The sequence below is a fragment of the Homo sapiens genome, chromosome 8 (genome assembly GCF_000001405.40).
Source record: "Homo sapiens chromosome 8, GRCh38.p14 Primary Assembly".
Lineage (NCBI taxonomy): Eukaryota > Metazoa > Chordata > Mammalia > Primates > Hominidae > Homo > Homo sapiens.
Genome location: NC_000008.11, coordinates 16,154,837 through 16,175,744, shown reverse-complemented (window position 1 = coordinate 16,175,744; position 20,908 = coordinate 16,154,837). Strand labels below are relative to the sequence as shown.

The 20,908-nt window shown below is 34.5% G+C and overlaps 1 protein-coding gene across 5 annotated transcripts in view; it reads left to right on the top strand.

Annotated features, from left to right (window-relative positions):
* MSR1 (macrophage scavenger receptor 1) overlaps positions 1 to 20,908 on the top strand; it is an 84,771-nt gene that overhangs the window by 16,907 nt on the left and 46,956 nt on the right. For all 5 annotated transcript variants that reach the window (NM_138716.3, NM_138715.3, NM_001363744.1 and 2 more), the window contains exons 3-6: positions 445 to 558; positions 6,875 to 7,287; positions 11,494 to 11,680; positions 20,601 to 20,681. In NM_138716.3, coding sequence (NP_619730.1) covers positions 445 to 558; positions 6,875 to 7,287; positions 11,494 to 11,680; positions 20,601 to 20,681 — 795 coding nt within the window. The remainder of the gene's footprint in view (positions 1 to 444; positions 559 to 6,874; positions 7,288 to 11,493; positions 11,681 to 20,600; positions 20,682 to 20,908) is intronic.

Genomic DNA, 20,908 nt, shown 5'->3' with positions numbered 1-20,908 from the left:
ATCATAGTCATTGAAAATAAGTATTTGCCCTATCTGATTTTAAAATATTAAAAAATTGCATAGTTACTTTAGAAAATTTTATTGTCACCCAGAATATTTTCCCATATGAACATTGAATAAAATTTATGTTTGTATATGTAAGTGTCGATATTAAAATTTACCAGCTGATTCCAAAAGATCAAACAAGCACAACTTGTAGAGCACAGTAACTTTCTTGTAGATGTTTAGTGAGTGGATAAGTCAGTCAAGTGCCTATAATGATACCTGGATTGGCTTTTCCTGTGACTGTCCTTTTGCTTTCTACTGCAAAGATGTGGAACATTTTTTCTTCTTTTTTATTCCAATAGGCTTGGTAGTAAGAATATAATTGGAGATTAAAACAATTTTAATTATGGAAGAAGACAACACTTTCTAACAGTAGGCTGGGCTTTTTTGTTTTATTAGATCCTAAAAACAGCCCTTCCCTTCAAGAGAAACTGAAGTCCTTCAAAGCTGCACTGATTGCCCTTTACCTCCTCGTGTTTGCAGTTCTCATCCCTCTCATTGGAATAGTGGCAGGTAACGTAACCCAGAGTTTTGAAATTTAGTAACTCGTCCCGTGAATTATTCATTGCCAAAGCAAAAAAGAAGCATTCAGTCTTTTGTATATGGTACATTCATAAAGAAAATACTGCATTACAAAGTGTCCTTCAAATTTGTTAAGTTAAAAAACAGATTCCGCAAAGTTAAGTAGAAAAAAATAGTTTTTAAATTAGAAAAAACAAAATAGAATGGAAAAAAAGAAGTGCAAGATAAAAATACAGATTTGTAATAGTAAAATGAAAAGGACGCTCTTTCAAAAATATATTATCCTCTAGAGTCCTCTCCTTCTAATGTGGGTGACAAATTTTAAAAGTATTCATTTTGCCAATGTGAAGAAGTAAGATGATCATTTACATTAACAATAGCTATAATATAAAAAAAAAGCCTGTTGTCCAGGAGAAGCTCTTCTATTCTTAGTACTGAGAGCAGAAAAAATATTTCTGTCAGTTTTTAAAGAGAGGAGACTTTGTAGAATAATGGCCTACAACTTAGTAAAATCCAGCTTATATGACCACATTTTTCATAGGGATATTATTTAAAATATCTCTAAAAATAACCTGATAGTATCTTCTCAAAGAAAAAATATACAACGTGATACTTGGGCTCAAAATGATGTTCCTGAGGTATATATTTCTTTGGAGGGTCTGACTTGAACCGGAGATAGATTTGACTGTTTCTACAAGGGTAGATAGCTTGTATACACCGTAAGCACTTATGTAAATATTATTCCCCGCGTAGCATTTTGGATGGATTTGATGTATTTCGATTGGCATTTGAATTTATATGCCTTATAGCTCTCCTCTTCTCTATATGACTGATAAAATGTCTGCCCATGTGCTCTAATAAGAGATAGGCTGGGAATAAGATACATTTTTATGTGCATACTAAGCAGTTTAACAACAACAACAAAAAAGTTCCTAAAGACCAGGCCAAAGTTCCTCTGCTACAGGGCAGTCTAAGGAAGTATTCCAAGACAGAGCAAAAATTCCACTAAGAAAGAAATAATGAAAACAATAATACACCCTTACAATTAACCTCTCTACAGAGACTGTAATTATTCTCATTATCCACATAAGAAAATTCAGACAGCTCAGTATTGGAGCTGGAGTTCCCATCCAAGACTTCCGAACCCGAGTTACTCTGGTCTCTTGTCTCCCAGTTTAATCAAGTCTTTATAAAACAACATGGTTGGCCAATAAAAAAACAAAAAAGTCAGCTGGGCACGGTGGCTCATGCCTGTAATCCCAGCACTTTGGGAGGCCGAGGCGGGCAGATCACGAGGTCAGGAGATCGAGACCATCCTGGCTAACATGGTGAAAACCCGTCTCTACTAAAAATACAAAAAAATTAGCCAGGAGTGGTGGCGGGTGCCTGTAGTCCCAGCTACTCGGGAGGCTGAGCCAGGAGAATGGCGTGAACCCAGGAGGTGGAACTTGCAGTGAGCCGAGATCGCGCCACTGTGCTCCAGCCTGAGGGGACAGAGCGAGACTCCGTCTCAAAAAAAAAAGAAAAAACAAAAAAGTCACCACAGGAAAATATTTTCTAGAGGTAACAATTAACTTCTTTTTGGCCATTAAAAATACACTAAAACAAAAATCCAACCATAACAACCAACCAACCAAACTATTGTTGTCTGAGTAAAAGGACCTGACACGTTTGGCATTAAACAATTTCCTGGTAAATCAAGGTTATCTGTATGTTTGTTTATGTCTATGCTTATCTGTAATTTGAAATGTATAACTAAATGATGCTTCATTGTTGGGATTATTACATATAAACCAATTAGAATTTGAGTAGATTTCATCACCTTTATGCAAATCACTGCCTGCAGTACCAGCACCAGGGACCGCAGCTTCTGATAGGCTCGTGCAGAGTGCAGACAGGAGTCGGAAAATAATTCAAGGTTCTAACCAAGTTCAAAGTCCCCGAGCTATTAGAAAATACTACCAAGTCAACACATTTATTCTGGAGTTTACAATGATTGATTTGAAGTAGTTTGTTTACTGAAACTACAGTAGGTACCGACTAAAATTGACTAGACACTAAGAATGTTCAAATTTTATAAGTACACATCAGTATCAGATTCACCAGAATTTGGAAAAGGCCTCACTATGTTTATTATGTATTAACAATAAACAATTCACAATCCACTTACAACTTTAATTAAGTTGTAGATCAGTATATTTTTCAAAAAGAAACTAAAAAGCAATATATATCTCTACTTGGCATAAAAAATTACAAATGTAGACAGAATATATCCCTAAAATGGTAGAAGTTTGGCAAATATGAATTCATGGGTGAAATAGAATATTATATATAAAACTCTGTGAAGTGAATTATATATTGAGGGGTATTTTCTTAATTATAAGGTTTATTCCATTTACAATCTTTTCTTAAAGAAGCTGCTGAAATACTGTCAGAGTGTAACAACATAATACTGTGTCAGAACAATAAGATAAAAATCAAGAATTTATGTATATATATATAAATTGTTACTGAAATACTAAAAATTCTTTAGCTGAAAACAATATCCATTTGGGGTATGAAAAGATAATTCCAATATGAAAGAGTAGATATGATCTGTAGAATCAAATATAACCCTGTCCGTAGGTTGTTGCACAGACCATAAAATTCTGTCTCCTTTCATATGTGAAACAGAAAAGTCACAAAATGCCATCTCTCCAATAAAAATAAGTGAACTTTTGAAAATATAAATCCTGGCATTCTTTACCTAGATATATGATAAAAAGTTAACATTTTATAGAAAAATTAGTTTTCACTCAGGGTTCGATGAAACAGGCAATTTGTGTTTTTAGATCTATTAACAAAATGTAGCATTTACTGTCACCTCATGTTTAACTTGTTGTCAAATTAAAAATAGTTGGTCATATGACCTTAGTCACATTGGGGCTTCTCTTTCCATATTGTGAAAAATATTAGCTTTACTGATACAAAATAAATCTTATTTCCAGTGAAAGTAAAAGTATATGGTTGAGCAATCAGAGCAATGTGCATAGTAAAATAAAGCAGAGAGATGACTGTGTTCATATGAACATCCAACTCCAGAAAAAGATTTTTATCACACAATGCTACTTCCCCATAGTTAATCAATATTGGGCATATAGGTACCTGAATCACACATCTTGAATCCAAATATTAATCATAGCAAAAACCTGAAACTTTTCAAGTGCTTATTACATGCCAGGAAGTGGTCTAAGTATTTTACATATAGTTCATTTAATTATTTGGACACTGACTATTAGTACCCCATTTATACAGGTGGTGAAATAGAGGCAATAACAGATTAAGTAACTTGTCCAACGCCATAGTTTATAAAGGGCAGAGCCAGAATTGCTAACCCAGGCAGTTCTATTCTAGAATCTAAATTCTTAACTGCTACTTCAAAAGAAATAATAATCAAAAAAGGACAACGTTAGAGGAAAATTTTGAAGTAATTTTGATAAAATTGTTTATTTGGGCTCCTCATTGTTACAGTCAAATTCCATTCCCAATTGTTCTTTTATTCCCAGAGTAACTCAAGCAATACTTTCCACATAGTATATAAGAATTAAATCATAGAATTAATGAATGCATGGATGAGGCTGTCAACCCAAAACTTGGTCCCCACAATGAATTTAATAAATGTGATGAGATACAGTTAAGAAATATACTTTTATTTCCAAGGTATTGATACGTTAAGACATGTAGAGTAACATACTCAATACAAACTCTATTGTAGATCACATCAAAATATTGTCATATTTTGTTATTTCACATAAGCTAATATTAAATTAATAAAACAAGGAAAAATATGGTATCATGTATTTTTTGAAATTAGAATTTAACTGCATATTTAGGATGACACTCTTAATGTAATAATAGCTACAGTAGTAATGCTTATCAAACAGCTTCTTTTTTTTTTTTTTTTTTTTTTGAGACTGAGTCTTGCTCTGTCAGCCAGGCTGGAGTGCAGTGCAGTGGCACAATCTCGGCACACTGCAACCTCCGCCTCCCGGGCTCAAGCAATTCTCCTGCCTCAGCCTCCCGAGCAGCTGGGACTGCAGGCACCCACCACCACGCCTGGCTAATTTTTGTATTCTTAGTAGAGACGGGGTTTCACCATGTTTGCCAGGCTGGTCTCGAACTCCTGACCTCAGGTGATCCACACACAGCCTCTTTAAGTAAAGGTAGTAAATACGGTGGACTCTGTAACTGAGATAATGTCTCTCATGTACAAGGCACTTTAGAGGAATAGATATGCCTATTTAATTAGTGTTCAGCACCACTGTTGAGGTAATTGTTACTTTTACAAATTGAGAAAACCAAAGCAAGGAGAGCGATAAGTAACTTGTTCAGAGTAGCCTAGTTGGTAATGGAGGAGTGTAGGAAGATTCTAGAATCAGGGAACTAGATCCTATGTAAACACCAAGCTGTTAGTTATTGAACAAAATCCTTGAGTTAGGGGTAGAACTAAATGTTTTTCATGTGTTGTTTAATTCTCAAAAATCTATAAAAATGGTACTATCACCATATCACTTTTATTAGAAAATTGATAGACTCAGGTGGAGCTGCATATATTTTTGAGCAATATGAAATTATTCTTTTTATTGTTCCATAATTGTCAAATGCGGAAAATCTTATACAACCAATCTAATATGAATATGACTAACATACATGTAGATAAAAGGTATAAATAGATACATATAGAGAGATATAGGAAAACAGAAAACCTCAGCCATGACTGAATAGTGATAAGATTGTGTTTAACATTTTCCTCATTCTCTATAATTATTCATGTTTTGTTTTTTTTTTTTTGAGATGGAATCTCACTCTGTTGCCCAGGCTGGAGTGCAGTGGCGTGATCTCGGCTCACTGCAACCTCTGCCTCCCAGGTTCAAGTGATTCTCCTGCCTCAGCCTCCTGAGTAGATGGGCCTGCAGGCGCCCGCCACCACGCCTGGCTAATTTTTGTATTTTTAGCAGAGACGGGGTTTCATCATGTTGGCCAGGATGGTCTTGATCTCCTGACCTGGGGATCCACCTCCCTGCGCCTCCCAAAGTGCTGGGATTACAGGCATGAGCCAACGCACCCGGCCTATTTTTGCATAAAAAGTTAATGTTTAAGCCTTTTATTTTTTTGAAACTAGAAAACATATTGCTTTAGATTATTTCAGAATGATAATTAGATTGTTTAGAGAACATATGCCCATTTGGGGATATCTATCAGCAGCTCAGTATGTTCCTAAAATACTATTTTAGAATATAATTTTTTTTTAATTTGGGAAATAATTAATCACAAGATTGTTCATCAAAACATTGGCTATATTACTGAAAACAGAGGCAAACTAAATGCAGCTATTTTTTAAATAAATCTGGCAGATCCATACATATACTACAATGGAGTTTTTAAAATTATTTTTGTAGAATAATATTAAATAATATAAAAAAGTACTTATGATAGAGCATTACATTAAAAAGTTGTTTCCAGATTGTTTAAAAATGTCATATTTTAAGATAATAATATGATAAGGGTTGAGACACGTACACCAAAATCCTAGAGTTTAAGCTAGGATGGTGAGATTCATGGTAAATTGTTTTTCCATATTATGTATATTTTCTAAATTTTCTGCTGTGAATATATATTTTATAATAGTTAAAAAGGAGTCTTATGAGAATCGTACCTTTATAAAGTGAAAAAATGTATTTGCCCAATTTCCTGCTCCACCAACTGTGAATTAGGTCTGTATTAACTGAAAATGACGCTTTTCTGGCAGCTCAAGTGAAAGAATGAAGAAGATAAACCAACAATTTATCCATATTATGCATGACACCACTATTTCACCACTTATTGCTTTTGTCATCATCATGATTATCACTGCCATTGTTAACATATTCAACATGCTTACTTCAGAAACTGTATTAAGCATTAGTCCACTTTATTCTAACAGCAGTTCTGTAGACACATAGCCTTTCATAATCTATAGAATTTTTTTTTAATTGGCAAGGCCAAAATCAATGGCCAAGAAGATTCATATAAGCAGCAATTCAGAAAGCATGATATAATCCTGGAATCATCTTAACGTAAAATAGGAAAGGGAGAATGTATGCTTCTCAGCAATATACGTAGCGTAGTTCACACGTTGTAGATTAAAAAAAAATACTCGATTTAGCCTAGCATTCAAAATGTTGGAATGGAATGGAATAAAATGAACGGAATGGAATGATATGGGATGGGATCCTGTATGCATTCAAGGATCAGGCCATGACTGGTTTATTTTTACTTAAATATACAGCTCAACTCCTGAAGTGGGAAACGAAGAATTGCTCAGTTAGTTCAACTAATGCAAATGATATAACTCAAAGTCTCACGGGAAAAGGAAATGACAGCGAAGAGGAAATGAGATTTCAAGAAGTCTTTATGGAACACATGAGCAACATGGAGAAGAGAATCCAGCATATTTTAGACATGGAAGCCAACCTCATGGACACAGAGCATTTCCAAAATTTCAGCATGACAACTGATCAAAGATTTAATGACATTCTTCTGCAGCTAAGTACCTTGTTTTCCTCAGTCCAGGGACATGGGAATGCAATAGATGAAATCTCCAAGTCCTTAATAAGTTTGAATACCACATTGCTTGATTTGCAGCTCAACATAGAAAATCTGAATGGCAAAATCCAAGAGAATACCTTCAAACAACAAGAGGTAAGAGTTTGTGGACTGCAAGGTCACTTGCTGGAACTGAATCCATCCAAGTCTCGTCTCCTTAGGCAGTACAGGAAAGCAAAAGTTGCAAACCCTGTTTCATCATCCTGTTTACCCTGATTTCTATGGCTAACTTATCCAGATTTTAAACGAATGTTAAGGGATTTAAAATGGATTCGCCTTCTCTAAACTCTTAGAAAAAGGGGAAATTTTTCCCATTGAATATAGACTCCCTTTACATATTTTATAAATACTGTTAAAATGTCTTTTTAGACTGCCTAAACCAATCATAATTTTTAGGTTATCTTAGCAGATCTTGAGAAGTGAACACTCTGTATGTGTGAATTTTGCAACAGACATATTTGATATGCTTAGATTTTTTTTTTTATTTGTAAGTTTCACTCAGAACTTTTGAACTTATACATGGTCCTCACCTTAAGGTGTCAGAAGACAATGGTATTACAGTTTTTGTATGGGGAGTCTGTTGGTGAACCTCATCCCAACATGTTGATATTCCGTTTCTATTCCATGTCACGTCTAAAATCTATCAGTGTTTCCTACATTGTTAATAAGTAAGCATATCAAAGGGTATTGGGATATCAAAGCCTTGGGCTATAGAAAGATTAGAGAAAGTGTACAAAGAAGAAACTGTCCATAGTTTTGAATAATATAAGAAAGACAGAAAGCGAAAATGTTAGTTATCAGGATAGACATTGATTAAGTTGAGGGGAAAGAAGAATGGAGAAGAAATACTATTTATGTAGAAATAGGGTCAGAAGAGCACTGAGATGAGGTAAGGACAGAGGGAAGGTGGATGAGATGGAAGAAGAAGGATACATTTGATTCTGGCAGTGCATTAAATCCTGCAGAGACCATGGAATGTTTTTGTTTGTTTGTTTGTTTGTTTGTTTTTGAGATGGAGTCTCACTCTGTTGCCCAGGCTGGAGTGCAATGGTGAGATCATGGCTCACTGCAACCTCTGCCTCCCAGGTTCAAGTGATTCTCGTGCCTTAGCCTCCCATGTAGCTGGGATCAAAGGTACGTGCTACCTCACCCGGCTAATTTCTGTATTTTTAGTGGAGACAGAGTTTGCACCATGTTGGCCAGGCTGATCTCGAACTCCTGGCCTCAGGTGATCTGCCCGTCTTGGCCTCCCAAGGTGCTGGGATTACAGGCATGAACCACTGCGCCTGGCTGACCATCGAATGCTTTTGAACCCAAACATGAGGAATTGAAAGCAAATTGGAAACTATCTGGAAGGTGGTAGAAATTTTGAACCTGTTTGAAGTGATAATTAATGGAAACGATCAAAATCTGGTGATCAGTGAGCTGTTTGAGTTTCGATAGATTACACTTAAATTTTGGAGGGAATTCCAGCATTAGAAAAGGAAATGCAAGGGAATGGTGAAAGTTTGAAAGCTATATACATCTTTAAAAACAGTAGTCACTCACAGAGACTTAGAAACTAGGTCAGTGCCAGTGCGTGCATGTGTGTGTGTGTGTGTGTGTGTGTGTGTGTGTACTCCTGTGTACACTGAAAAACAACATTGGGACGCTCATCCCCATTGCTTGAATAATTTTATTGACCTTTGAATCTTTAGCTCAATGTAGGAATAAATAAATTAAATGAATGCCTGAATTTGTAAATGGCGTTTGAGGAAATAGGTTATAAGTGACACCAGCATAACACTTATCAAGGACACACCAAAAATTAATTTGAAAGAAAGAGGAAGAACATTGGCACCAAATGAAAGACAGGGGTGGCATTTATCATCATCCATAGAGGTGAAAAGGACTGTACGACTACAAAATTAAATGCCTGTTTCTAGGAGGGTCACTGGTGGTAGCATGTGGAGGGAGTGTGTGGATGCTATATAGGATTTTTTGAAATTAAATACACTTTTCCTCCTCCCAGTGAAAATAATTTCCACTGAAATTTGACAAATGTAAACACCATGTGCAGTTTTCAAAGAAGGGAATAATAAGGCAGCCTCAGCTGCCAGGCGCAGTGCCTCACACCTGTAATCCCAGCACTTTGGGAGGCCGAGGTGGGTGGACCACGAGGTCAGGAGTTCGAGACCAGTCTGGCCAACATAGTGAAACCCCATCTCTACAAAATTAAAAAAAAAAAAATTAGTCAGGTGTGGTAGTGTGCACCTGTAATCCCAGCTACTCGGGAGAACCACTTGAACCCAGGAGGTGGAGGTTGCAGGGAGCCGAGATCATGCCATTGCACTCCAGCCTGGGTGACAGTGCGAGACTCCGTCTCAAAAAAAAAAAAAAAAAAAAAAAAGAAAGAAAAAGTAGCCTCAGCTTTTAGGTATGATGAAAAACCTGGATGATTCCTCGTTTCTAGGAAGCAAAATCACTGTCTAGTCACTTAACACTTTATGCTGAATGTCTGGAACTACCCGACATACTTGCAGCAATTTTTAGCCCCCTAAATTAAGTCAAGTGTATTTATCATGGCGGTGTGCCCTACAAACATCCATGCTCACTATTTCACCTTTATTGTAATGATGGTATTGTACAGAAAATATTAAATGGTCAGGGGAGGAGGAGGTGCAAGATAGAGAAATTCTAATCTAGAATAAGGTTTTGTTTGGGAGAAGGCACAGTTAGAGCAATAAAAGCTGGTAAGTCTCTCTGCTTCAGTATAGTGTCATTGAAGAGGCAAATCTAGACGCACATTCATTTATTTTCGAAGGTCCTACACTCTGACCATCTTGATCCTCTCACCTAAGCTTGTCTAGTCTAGTCCAGCTCAAGAGAGTGTAATATTCTTTTTACTTCTGGATTAAAGAAAAACATACCACTGGCTTATTTCCCCATGTGCAAATCGGAAATGAGTATCTATCAACTTTAGAACATAGGAGTACTTAATACAATAATAAAGCATACAATGAAGACAGAAAATGGGATAAAAGTAGAACAGAGAGACAAAAATTATTACCAGAATAGATGAGAACATTTGGTTCATCAAAAATAAAAAGCCCAATGCTGAAAGAGAAAACCAAGCAAATGATCTAAAAGAAAAATTAATAAACATTAATCGTCAGAAATTTAATGACTGGATACTTTAACCTCACTATAATTTGAAAAACAAGTTAAGTAATAATGATTTGCTATGTACCTACTCTTACTATGCAAACTTAAATATATTAATGGTACCCAGTATTCAGCTGCAAAAAGTGGACGCTGATACGCAGTAAGAGGAAGAAAAATGGTAGCATATATTTGGAGAGTAGTACGGCAATGGTTGAACAAAAATGCTGTTTAATGTTTAGTCCCTTTGGTCAAATCCACTTCAGGAAGATGTTCTATAGAAGTACTTATATCAATATACAAATATATTTAAAATGATGTTCATGGCAGCATTGTTTAGTTGTAGAAAAGTGCACAGCTCAAAACACTATGAATAGGAATCCTAAATAAATTTTGAGAAATAGATTCAATTCCACTAAATTACTGAAAATATCAGTCTCTAAAGTATTTTAATAGATAAATATCCTTAATATATTATTGAGTAAAATATAAAAGCATATTCCAGGATATAGGTAGATCCTCTGTCTTTTTCACACTCTTAAGTATATGAATGTGTATGTATAAATATACACAAAATATACGTGTATTTGAAAACACAAAATACTAATGCCTCAAATACAGAGGCAATGCAAACTGAAAGTAAAGCACTGTTAATATGCGAGTTCGAGGTTTTATTGAGTATGAAAATCTATTGTCAATGATCATCACCACTGAGGATTATGACATTAAACTTCACTTATTACTATAAAACAATTTCCAATATAAATCTATCAAATTCACGAAATTTGACTATGTTGCCACTGTAAGTACAGTACGAAGACATTTTACTTCAGATAAATTAAGACCTTATGGTGTTTATTTAATTTTATTGTTAGAATTTTGACATCTATATATATAGGAATAGAAACATATCATAGATACATTAAATTGATTTTTGAAGGGGGTTGTGATTGTAAACATTCAGCCATTCAGTCAAAAGAGGAAATGTTTCACAATTAAAGAATTACTACTTTCAAAACAGTTTTCTAATTTCTATATTCTTATTCCATAAAACTCCCATAATATGTTTTTAAAAACCTGAACTCCGAGGGTTTCTTGAACTTTCATATTTGATAATTATGTATGTAACAAAGGCTGTGAATGCTCACTTATGTTTTACAGGAAATCAGTAAATTAGAGGAGCGTGTTTACAATGTATCAGCAGAAATTATGGCTATGAAAGAAGAACAAGTGCATTTGGAACAGGAAATAAAAGGAGAAGTGAAAGTACTGAATAACATCACTAATGATCTCAGACTGAAAGATTGGGAACATTCTCAGACCTTGAGAAATATCACTTTAATTCAAGGTAAAATGTCTTGTCATTTCTCCAGAAAATGATATATATATTAAAATATACTGATACATGCAGAGATTTGATATTTGAAATCCTATGGTTTGAAATAAATAGTTTCTGAGCTTACATTTACTGCAAATACCCAAAGGAAAGAATATGAAAATCAGATAAAGACAGGGTACGATAACCAGTAGCCTGGTATCACTTAAATAGAAAGGGAAAAGCAAAATATATCTTAAGGTCTAATGATTTTCTCATTGTTAAAAACTACCTCATAAGTACTGAATACAAGTTTTTTGTAATTACAAGTTTCTTCACATGTTCACAAACCAAGCTTGTTAATATTGCTTTTCCAAAACTTCCAGTCTTTTTTATTTCTTACTTGACTGTATTATTAATTAAAAGGATCTTTTGAACTCTCCAAAATAATGATGGATTTGTCCATTTCTTCTGCAGTGCCTGTTAGTGAAATAAGGTGAATTGGATCTTACTTATATATATAAATAAAATATATGTATATATGCTTTCTTTATATATATAGGCTTTCAGTTTTAGCTTTACATTTTAGATATTTTAGTTTTAGCTTTACATTATAGATTTTTTCTATATTTTGATTTTTTGATTTCTATATTTTGATTTTGATTTTCTATATTTTGATTTCAACCATTTGCATGTATTTTTCTATATTTTGATTGCAACCTTTTGCCTGTTGGTATTCTTTGTTTTAGGTTAGTCTCTTGTAATGAATACTTACCTTTTCTTTTAAAAAAATATACAATCTGACCATCTCTTTGCACTGTATTTATTTCCACTATCTTATCATGTGCTCTGGTTTTTTCCAGTTTATTTTATGTTTCTTTTGCTTTGCTGTATTGCCACTTTTGGATTGATTAAGATTTTTCTCTTGCTGAATTTTTCTCTCTACCAAAATTACCAAACAGGTTTCAGAAACTTTGTAGTATATTTCTATTTCTTATTGATTGTTGACCTTAACATTTATCTTGAAGTCTAAAGTTGATCAGTATCTTAACATTCATCCTAAAATACACAAGGAACTGAAAGTGCTTTGATGATCCTCTTCCCTAGTTTCCTGCTAATATTTTAGTACAGTTTATTCTACTTTATTTTTTTTTAATCGAGAACTTAGTCAATATTATTTTTCTTTTTTTATACAGACAATCTTGTGGAGCCTTAATTAGGGAAAAGTAGTCAGGCTGGTAGGACCAGGGAAAGCAAAGAGAAAGAAGATAAGCTATAAATCTGCCTTTCTTCTTGGTCCAGAACATGTAGGTCCCTCCTGCAAGAAACTTGTCACCAGATACCTGCAAGTTAACCCACTCTAACCTTGGTTTATCAGTACTGCACAAGCTCTCTTCAGCATACGTTATAAACACTATTCTATAAAATCTTCAGCAAACCTTTGTTTCCTGGCAATCAGTTTCTCTTCTGCTGGCCTGCTCATTGCCTCCTTGCAACGTATTTTCCTGCTTTTGTTAATAAATCTGCCTTTCTTTATCTACAACCATCTTGGTAAATTATTTAACCCTGCACCACTGGCTCAGATAGTCATCGCTCACCCACAACAAATATTTATTTAAATTTGCGCATGAATTTACCAATTGTTCTCCGTTCTAAAAGCACCTCGGGCATTTCTTCTGGGATTATTTTCCTTCTGCCTGAAGTATATCTTTTGGAAGTTCATTTAGTGAAAGTAAATTGATCAAGAAACCTTCTGATTTCATTTTCTCTATTTTGACTTGATCTTTGAAATTGTTTTACTATATACACACTTATTAGGTTGACAGTTATTTTGATTCCTTCTATCAGTGTGCTGAAAAAATTGGTCCCCTGGCTTCAAGCTTTTCTTGTGGCTCTTAAAATGACTGCCACCAATCTGTTTGTCATTCTCTTTGTCTTTCATATCTGCAGTTTTACTTATCTGTGGTTTTGTATTGATAATTTATCCATCTAACATTTGCTGTACTTCTTATATTAGTGGATTTATGTCTATCAGTTTGGGAATATAACCAGCTTCATTCACTTTGACTATTGCTTCTTCACGATTCTTTCTCTCCTTTCCTCTGTAACTTACATGAAATTCATATTGGATGTTCTCATTCCAGCTTCCATGTCTGTTAAGCTCTATTTCATGATTTTAATATTTTGTCTCATTTTATATCATTAGCAACTAGAAAAATAGAACTAAGAACTTCATGTGACTTCATTTCAAATACACTAGTTTGAGAAAATTAAGAAGCCTAATAATCAAGTGATGACAATGAAAAAAAGAATAAAAACAAGTCCCAGAAAACTATATATAGACAATTTTTACTTCTAATGCTCATAGTTAGTAAAATTATGTAAATTTACAGACACATAAATATGTAATATAATCATTGTTTTAAAATTTAAGAAAATGATAAACACAAAATTCAGGGTAATATTTATCTATGAAAAGGAAATAGATGAATGAGATAGGGGAACATCTAGGTAGATACCGATTTCTTGGATTGTGATGTTGCAAGGGTATTCTCATTATTGTTGTACTTTATAGCTTGCTTATACAGAACACATATCATATATAGTATTTATCACAATAAAACAGATGATAAAGAAAAATTTGAATTAATCAGATTTTTCTCTAACAGTTAGATACCTCCACTTTGGATTTCAAATAAATGTCCGAAGCTTTACAAATTCAAAACCAAATCCTTGCTTCTTAACTAGCCACCCGCATCTGCCTCCCCAAATCTGTTGCGTTTTCAGTCTTTTTGTTGGTTTTGTCATTTTCCAACTACCTGCTCACTGCCTGATCTTGGAAGCTGTCTTTGACTTCCTTGCTCTCATTCTCTATGTAATCCATTTGTAAGTCCTACTAATTCTTATTTCATACAATATCTCAAACCAAACTTCTTCTTACTCTCTACTACTACTCTAATTCAAGCAACCATATCCCAGTCTGGTGTATTACATCCGCTTCTCAGTTGGTGTCCCTGGCTCTGCTCTTAGTCCATTCTAAATAGCAAAAAAAAAAAAAAAAAAATGCTATTTAAGAAAACCCACACAAATTACTGGATGTGTGTGGTTTCTCTCTTTACACTAGATGTGTCTTTTCTCTCTCTTGCTTAAATCCTCCAATGTCTTCTCATTAGTCTTGGGATAAAATCTAAACTTCTACTTGGTCTGTCACCTGTCTACTTCTCTGCCCTAATTTTCTCAATCTTCCCTCTGTCATCCTTCTGCCTAGCTTGGAAATGTGGAAGAATGAAGTGCCACGAACAAGTAAAAGTTAATATAGAAAAAGTGCTTGTTTCATTTCATGCTGTCCATAATGAACACTAGACATTTTCTCTTTCTCTTGAAAGGTTCTTCTCTACGTCTCTACTCCTTCTTGGCTCCACTTGAAGTTACCTCCTCCACTTTCCACCATTCTTATTCTAAACTCCCCCATCTCTCTCTACCATGATTTGCTTTAATTTCCTCATAGTTTTTACCACTATATGAAATCATGTCATCTCTACATTTGCTTACTTGTTTAGCTTGTATCTTCTCCAGCAGAATGTGAGCTCTGTGAGGTTAAGTCTTCTCCTCCTTGTCTACCTCTGCAATCCCAATGCCTGTTAGAGTGCCTGGAAAATAGTGGGTGAGCAATTACATATGTGTTGAGTGAATAAGTGAAACTAAGACTTTTGTCTTAGCAAGTTACACTCTATAATAGCAGTGTCATTCTTCCTGGTTTCCAAGCTATCAATTTTAATTATTTTATATCTCCCAAGACCACCATTAGTTCTCAACATTCTGTATTCTCTGTTCCTTTGTCATTTCTTTATATCCTCGTATAAATTATTCTTATGACTCTTTGCCAGAGTTGCAATTGTTTCCTGCCCAGACTGTAATCCTTTTTGCACCCTTGTAGAATACAGCCTTCCTAAAGGAAGTCTTAGATTGCATAAAGACTCTCTGTTGCCCCGTCATTAGACATACAGTTTTGCCTGTAGCACTCAAGGTCTTTTTCAGTGTGTCTCTTAACTAGTCTTGAATGCTTCATTCCCTCGCTTGTCTTTTTTGTATATCAAATATTTCAACTAATTTGACTGTGATTCTAATGTACCCAGTACTTTGTGCATCCTGCCTCATGTCTTTTCCTTTATTTGAAATATTTTCTCTTTGATTTGTATTCGAAGATATCTTGTTTATCATTCAAAGTCCATCTAAGATGCCACCTCTTGCATGAAGCCTTTGCTGGTTCTACCAATAGTAAGGCCCAGCTGATACTTATTTCTGTCTTAATATGGAACATTAAGTATTCTCTCACAAGAGAATACTTAATGTGATAGTTATGTATAAAAGTATCTCATATTCTCTTCGAGAACAGTGTTCACTCTTCCTGGACACAAGCTACTTCCATTAGAAACTGTTCTTTATATCTCTTATAGCACCTAGCCATAAAATATCTATTAATTAAATTATAACTTAAGAACCATATTTTAGAAATTAATGAGTGCTTTATCCTTTATCATGTGTTGATTGCAGAGTTAGTGTAATTACTTTGTGTTCTCTTTTCCCTTATATTAATAATCACTAAATAATTATACAGTTAAAAGAGACAAAGATTTTTTAATACATTTCTCAAATAGTTATAATAATTAGAGCCTTAAAGAACTACATAAAATTTCATTGTGGAAATGGTGAAGTAGAGTTTGGTGGAGAGTTGGGGATAACGTGATTTAAAGAAGCAAAGATGAACTCTAGAGAAAGGTATTTAAGAGAAATAAAATATAATATGACTCTGTGGTGAGAATAGCTAACATTTTGTTTATTTGGAAACATTTTAGATATATTGGCTTCCTAGGATATGAAAGCACCAAAAAAGAAATATTGATTTTTATAGTAGAGAAAATGAAAAAGCAACTGAGGGCATTTGAATTTGGAGTTTTGTATAATTAATTACTGAGATTGTAACAGCTGGACTGTAGGCTAGAAGTGGTGGCTCATGCCTGTAATCCCAGCGCTTTGGGAGGCTGAGACAATATAATTCCAGCACTTCAGGAGAGTGAGACATGAGGGCCTTTTGAGCCCAGAAGTTCAAGACCAGCCTAGGCAAAGTAGCAAGACCCTATCTCTGAAAAAAAAAAAAAAAAAAAAATTAACCAAAGGAAAAAAACTGAATTGTGAGTTTGTCTAACCACTATGTAAAGGAAAAATTCAGCTGAGGAATAATGGAAGAACAGATGTGGAAAATGAAGTCAATTAAATTTAGAACATGGTAGCATAGGATCAGGAAAGAAATGAAATTCTTCTAGTTCTGATTTAACCCAACTAGCTTTAAGACCTTGAGCAACTCACTCTCTGACCCTCTATAAATATGTTTAGTTAAACAATGTTTAAAGTGTCTTCCAGATTAAACATATCTAAATCAATGAGCATGAAAACTAGAGAAAAAAAAAAGAAGCAGGTTTAGGCAGCAATAGACTAGAAGATGTGGCAGATTTTTATGATGATCTGAATATGAGACAAGATTGAAAACGGAGTAGAAGATTAATGCTCATAATGAATAAAAACTAGAGAAGCATCGCTCTGGAAACTTAGTCAGATATTATTAGTGCTATGTTATCGTCTGAGGATTTTAAATGATATGATACACCTGGGTTTGTTTTTCTAGTAAATTGTGTAATTTTGTTCTATGATATTGATGATTATCAAATATTATATATCAGTACTTTTTTGTGGTTATATAGAAATATTACTTTTCCTTTTTAAGAAGTAATCATGGAGGAAGCTACATAGTAGATTTTGTGCATGTGTTGTATAAAGGTAATTCTTCATGGCAGATTATTGTGATAGTATTTATGAATTATTCCTGTAACTGTAATTGGAAATATTAAAGATGAAAAATAATGTAAATTCTATGGCTTCTTGAACTAGAATAAATCATATATTTTGGCCAATATTAACCCATTTTTTTTGACATGTATCAGCAAGGGAGCTGACAGGTAGCATTTTGTCCATTTATTGATGCAACGAGGCAGTTATTATGTCAGTATGGAACAAAATTTTGAAAAGACTAAATGGAAACTACGAACAAAAGGTGACTACAAGAGACTCTAAGTCTTTATTCTTTTTTCCATAATATGACAGAATAGGTTACTGCATTTCCTTAATTTGATAGAGACATTGCAAAACGGATTCTTATCAAAAAGAAGAAGAAAGCCAACACTGAGGGAACTAGGAGGTGAAACAGATAAAACACATTCAGACTAGATTAAAAATCTCTAGCAATAGTCCAGCTGTGTGATGGTGAAGACGTGAGCTACAATGGGAATGGAGAGGAGGCTAGTTTTGGAAGGTGGCAAGGTAGTGGATAGTGTTCTTAAAAGTTCTGCATCAGAAACTAAGAGTAAAGTGGTATATAATTTGTTATTTTATTCCCCCAATGAATCTAAAAGACACTTAAAACATTTATTGAGATCCTTCCAACATTTTGTTAGAAACAGTAAAAGATCTATAACAATGTACAAAAATGAAACATAATGTGAGATTAATGTTACATGAAGAATAGAATGACAATAAAAAGGTACATTCAACATGCCTAGTTAGAACTCTAACAAAAATCTTTACCTGTTTTTCTTATTGTAGGATTCGAATACCAGGTATCAGTATTTTTATATAAAAATACAGAGAGGGATCTTTAACTCCAAATTTTGTAAAATAATACTGATCTATTCGCTGTGATTGAACTAATACTCCAAAATTAAGTATACAGTTCCCATAATTACATGTAATATAATTGAAAGGATAGTTAGTAATTAGGAGAGTTCCTTCCATCTCTTACTTACCAAAGAAATGGTGAGAAGTCCATCTCAGAGGCTAAGAGTCTAGATCTATTCTCTGTGTCCCTTGTTTCTTCTTGTTTCATGTTCTAGTTTTTCCTGGAATGTCTGCGTCTTGCTTTGGATCCTGAGTTACTAAACTGAAATCTTTGCTTGCGCACTTTTTTCAAAATACCATCCTTGATTACTATCCCTGTGCTTCCCTTCAATTAGCTCAACAAAATTCAGGCATAAATTGAGTGTCTGTCCTGCTTGCCCCCCTCCCCTGGGATTCATTGCTATGTAGTGTTGAATGGATGCAGCTGCGTTCATGGTTATGGAAGTTACCATAACTCCATTTTCTTGGGAAGTACTACATTCTTCTGCAGGGAATAGGGGGCACATAGAGATTCCCTTTGATACAGAAATCTTACATTTCTTGTGCAGCATTTAAATATATGTCTCGCAGCAATTAAGCTATACCTTAGAATATAATACACCAGTTAATTTCTAAAAGCCCTGTAACATGTTGTTTGCATGACGATTATGTGGAAAAAAAAAATACACGTACACACTTAGGAAAGAAATGGTAAAGATCTTTAGTTAAAATAACACAACTACGAATTATATTCTTCCTCACGCTTTTTCTAGGCTTTTATGTTTCCTATAAGTAGAGTTGCTTTTATAATAAAAATACAATTAAATGTGTGTCCAATGTTGCATATGAGGAGAAAGGGACATTCTATTGAGAAGAGTAATAATGATATCTTGGGCCTCTAAAACCCAAATTGTACCTTGAAAATGGGACATACCAGAGGAATAGACAGAAGTAGAGTCAAGGATGTCAAAATAAGCAACAACAAAATGTACAAAATATACTTATTCATGAGATAATCTTTATTTATTTATGTGGTTCCCCCTCTTAGATTTCTTCGGGTATTATGTCTCCCACCTGATTAAAATTTGTAAACAAGTGCATTCTAACCAGGGATGCTGTATATATTTGTTTTCCTTGGACTATGTATGTGTCCAAACTAGCAATTGAAAATGCTTCCTTTAAAATATCACTATTTCCTTATTCTGTGGTGAATCTATGGAATAATGTTTCTTTCTGTTTCTTTCTTCTGGTGTTGAAAAGGAAACTAAGTGCTCTTCTTTAGATAAAGAAGAGATTATTTGTCCTCTGTACTCCATATGGAACATGGTGTTTAGGTAGGATTACCTTTGAGTTCTAAAGACATGCTAGGTATAATCATTTTAAAGGCATGATGAGCAGGTATCTGTTTTGCTGGACACAGAAAATACAAATGGCTAAATCAGGGTTGTTTAGTTACAGCTCTCAGGAGAGCCACCTGAAAAAAAATGATGAGACCAAAGTTTTCCTTGCAATGTCTCCATTTTGTTTACAGTATTTATAGCAACCTAGAAATTCTACTTAATATTTTACTTGAAAAAAGAATTCCTCTACTCATTTTCACCTTCCTGCCTTTCCTCATGCCTTTCTCAATCCCTAGGAATTGTCTTCCTTCCCCTTCCCTTCATTCTTGAAAGTACCCCTCATATCCTACTTTCTCAATGAAGACTTCAACCATCACCATTCACGCCGATCTACAGTTCACTGACAAATATCTGAGTTTATGGTCAGTTCCAACAAAGTGCTTTCTGGTTGTCTACCATGTGTGAATTTTCCTTTCCCTTGAGGGTATCACAAATGTCTTTTAAGTTCTTACTTATAGATTTTCCGTATAGTAGCTAATTCTGTATTATATCTAACTCTATGTCTAACTGCCTAGGATGCGTACAACACTAATGTGACTTTGTGCCAGCCTGCTGTCTTTTCTCTGCCCCCAGGTTCTCAGAACATAGAAAAGTGTTAGGCACACTCACATTTAATATACTGTTAGGTTGTTTACTTTGAGGCAATGTCATCCTCATTAGTATAGGGCATTATATTCCTGAATAGCAGAATACTCCTCCATTCATGAAGTTCAGTATTATACATTCTATATTATTGCACAACAAATAGAAGACTTTGGATTTCCTTATATAAGTACCTTGACAGATGACTAACCCATTTTTCCTATGCTTTACAACTATGATCAGTAACTGTAATTTTTTTAAAGGTCCTCCTGGACCCCCGGGTGAAAAAGGAGATCGAGGTCCCACTGGAGAAAGTGGTCCACGAGGATTTCCAGGTCCAATAGGTATGGTAATTTTAGCTATTTAATCATATACTGTGAAGATAGATGATATACATCCAGGTACATGTGTAGGGGAGGATTGCTATTTTATTTATATCCTGCAGAGGATGTGTATGTGTGTGTGTGTGTGTATGCACGCACATGTGTGTATATGTGTGTGTGTTTTGGGGGATTAGTAAATGTTCTAGTAGCCTAATCACATAATACACTGAATGATAAGCATTACTCAT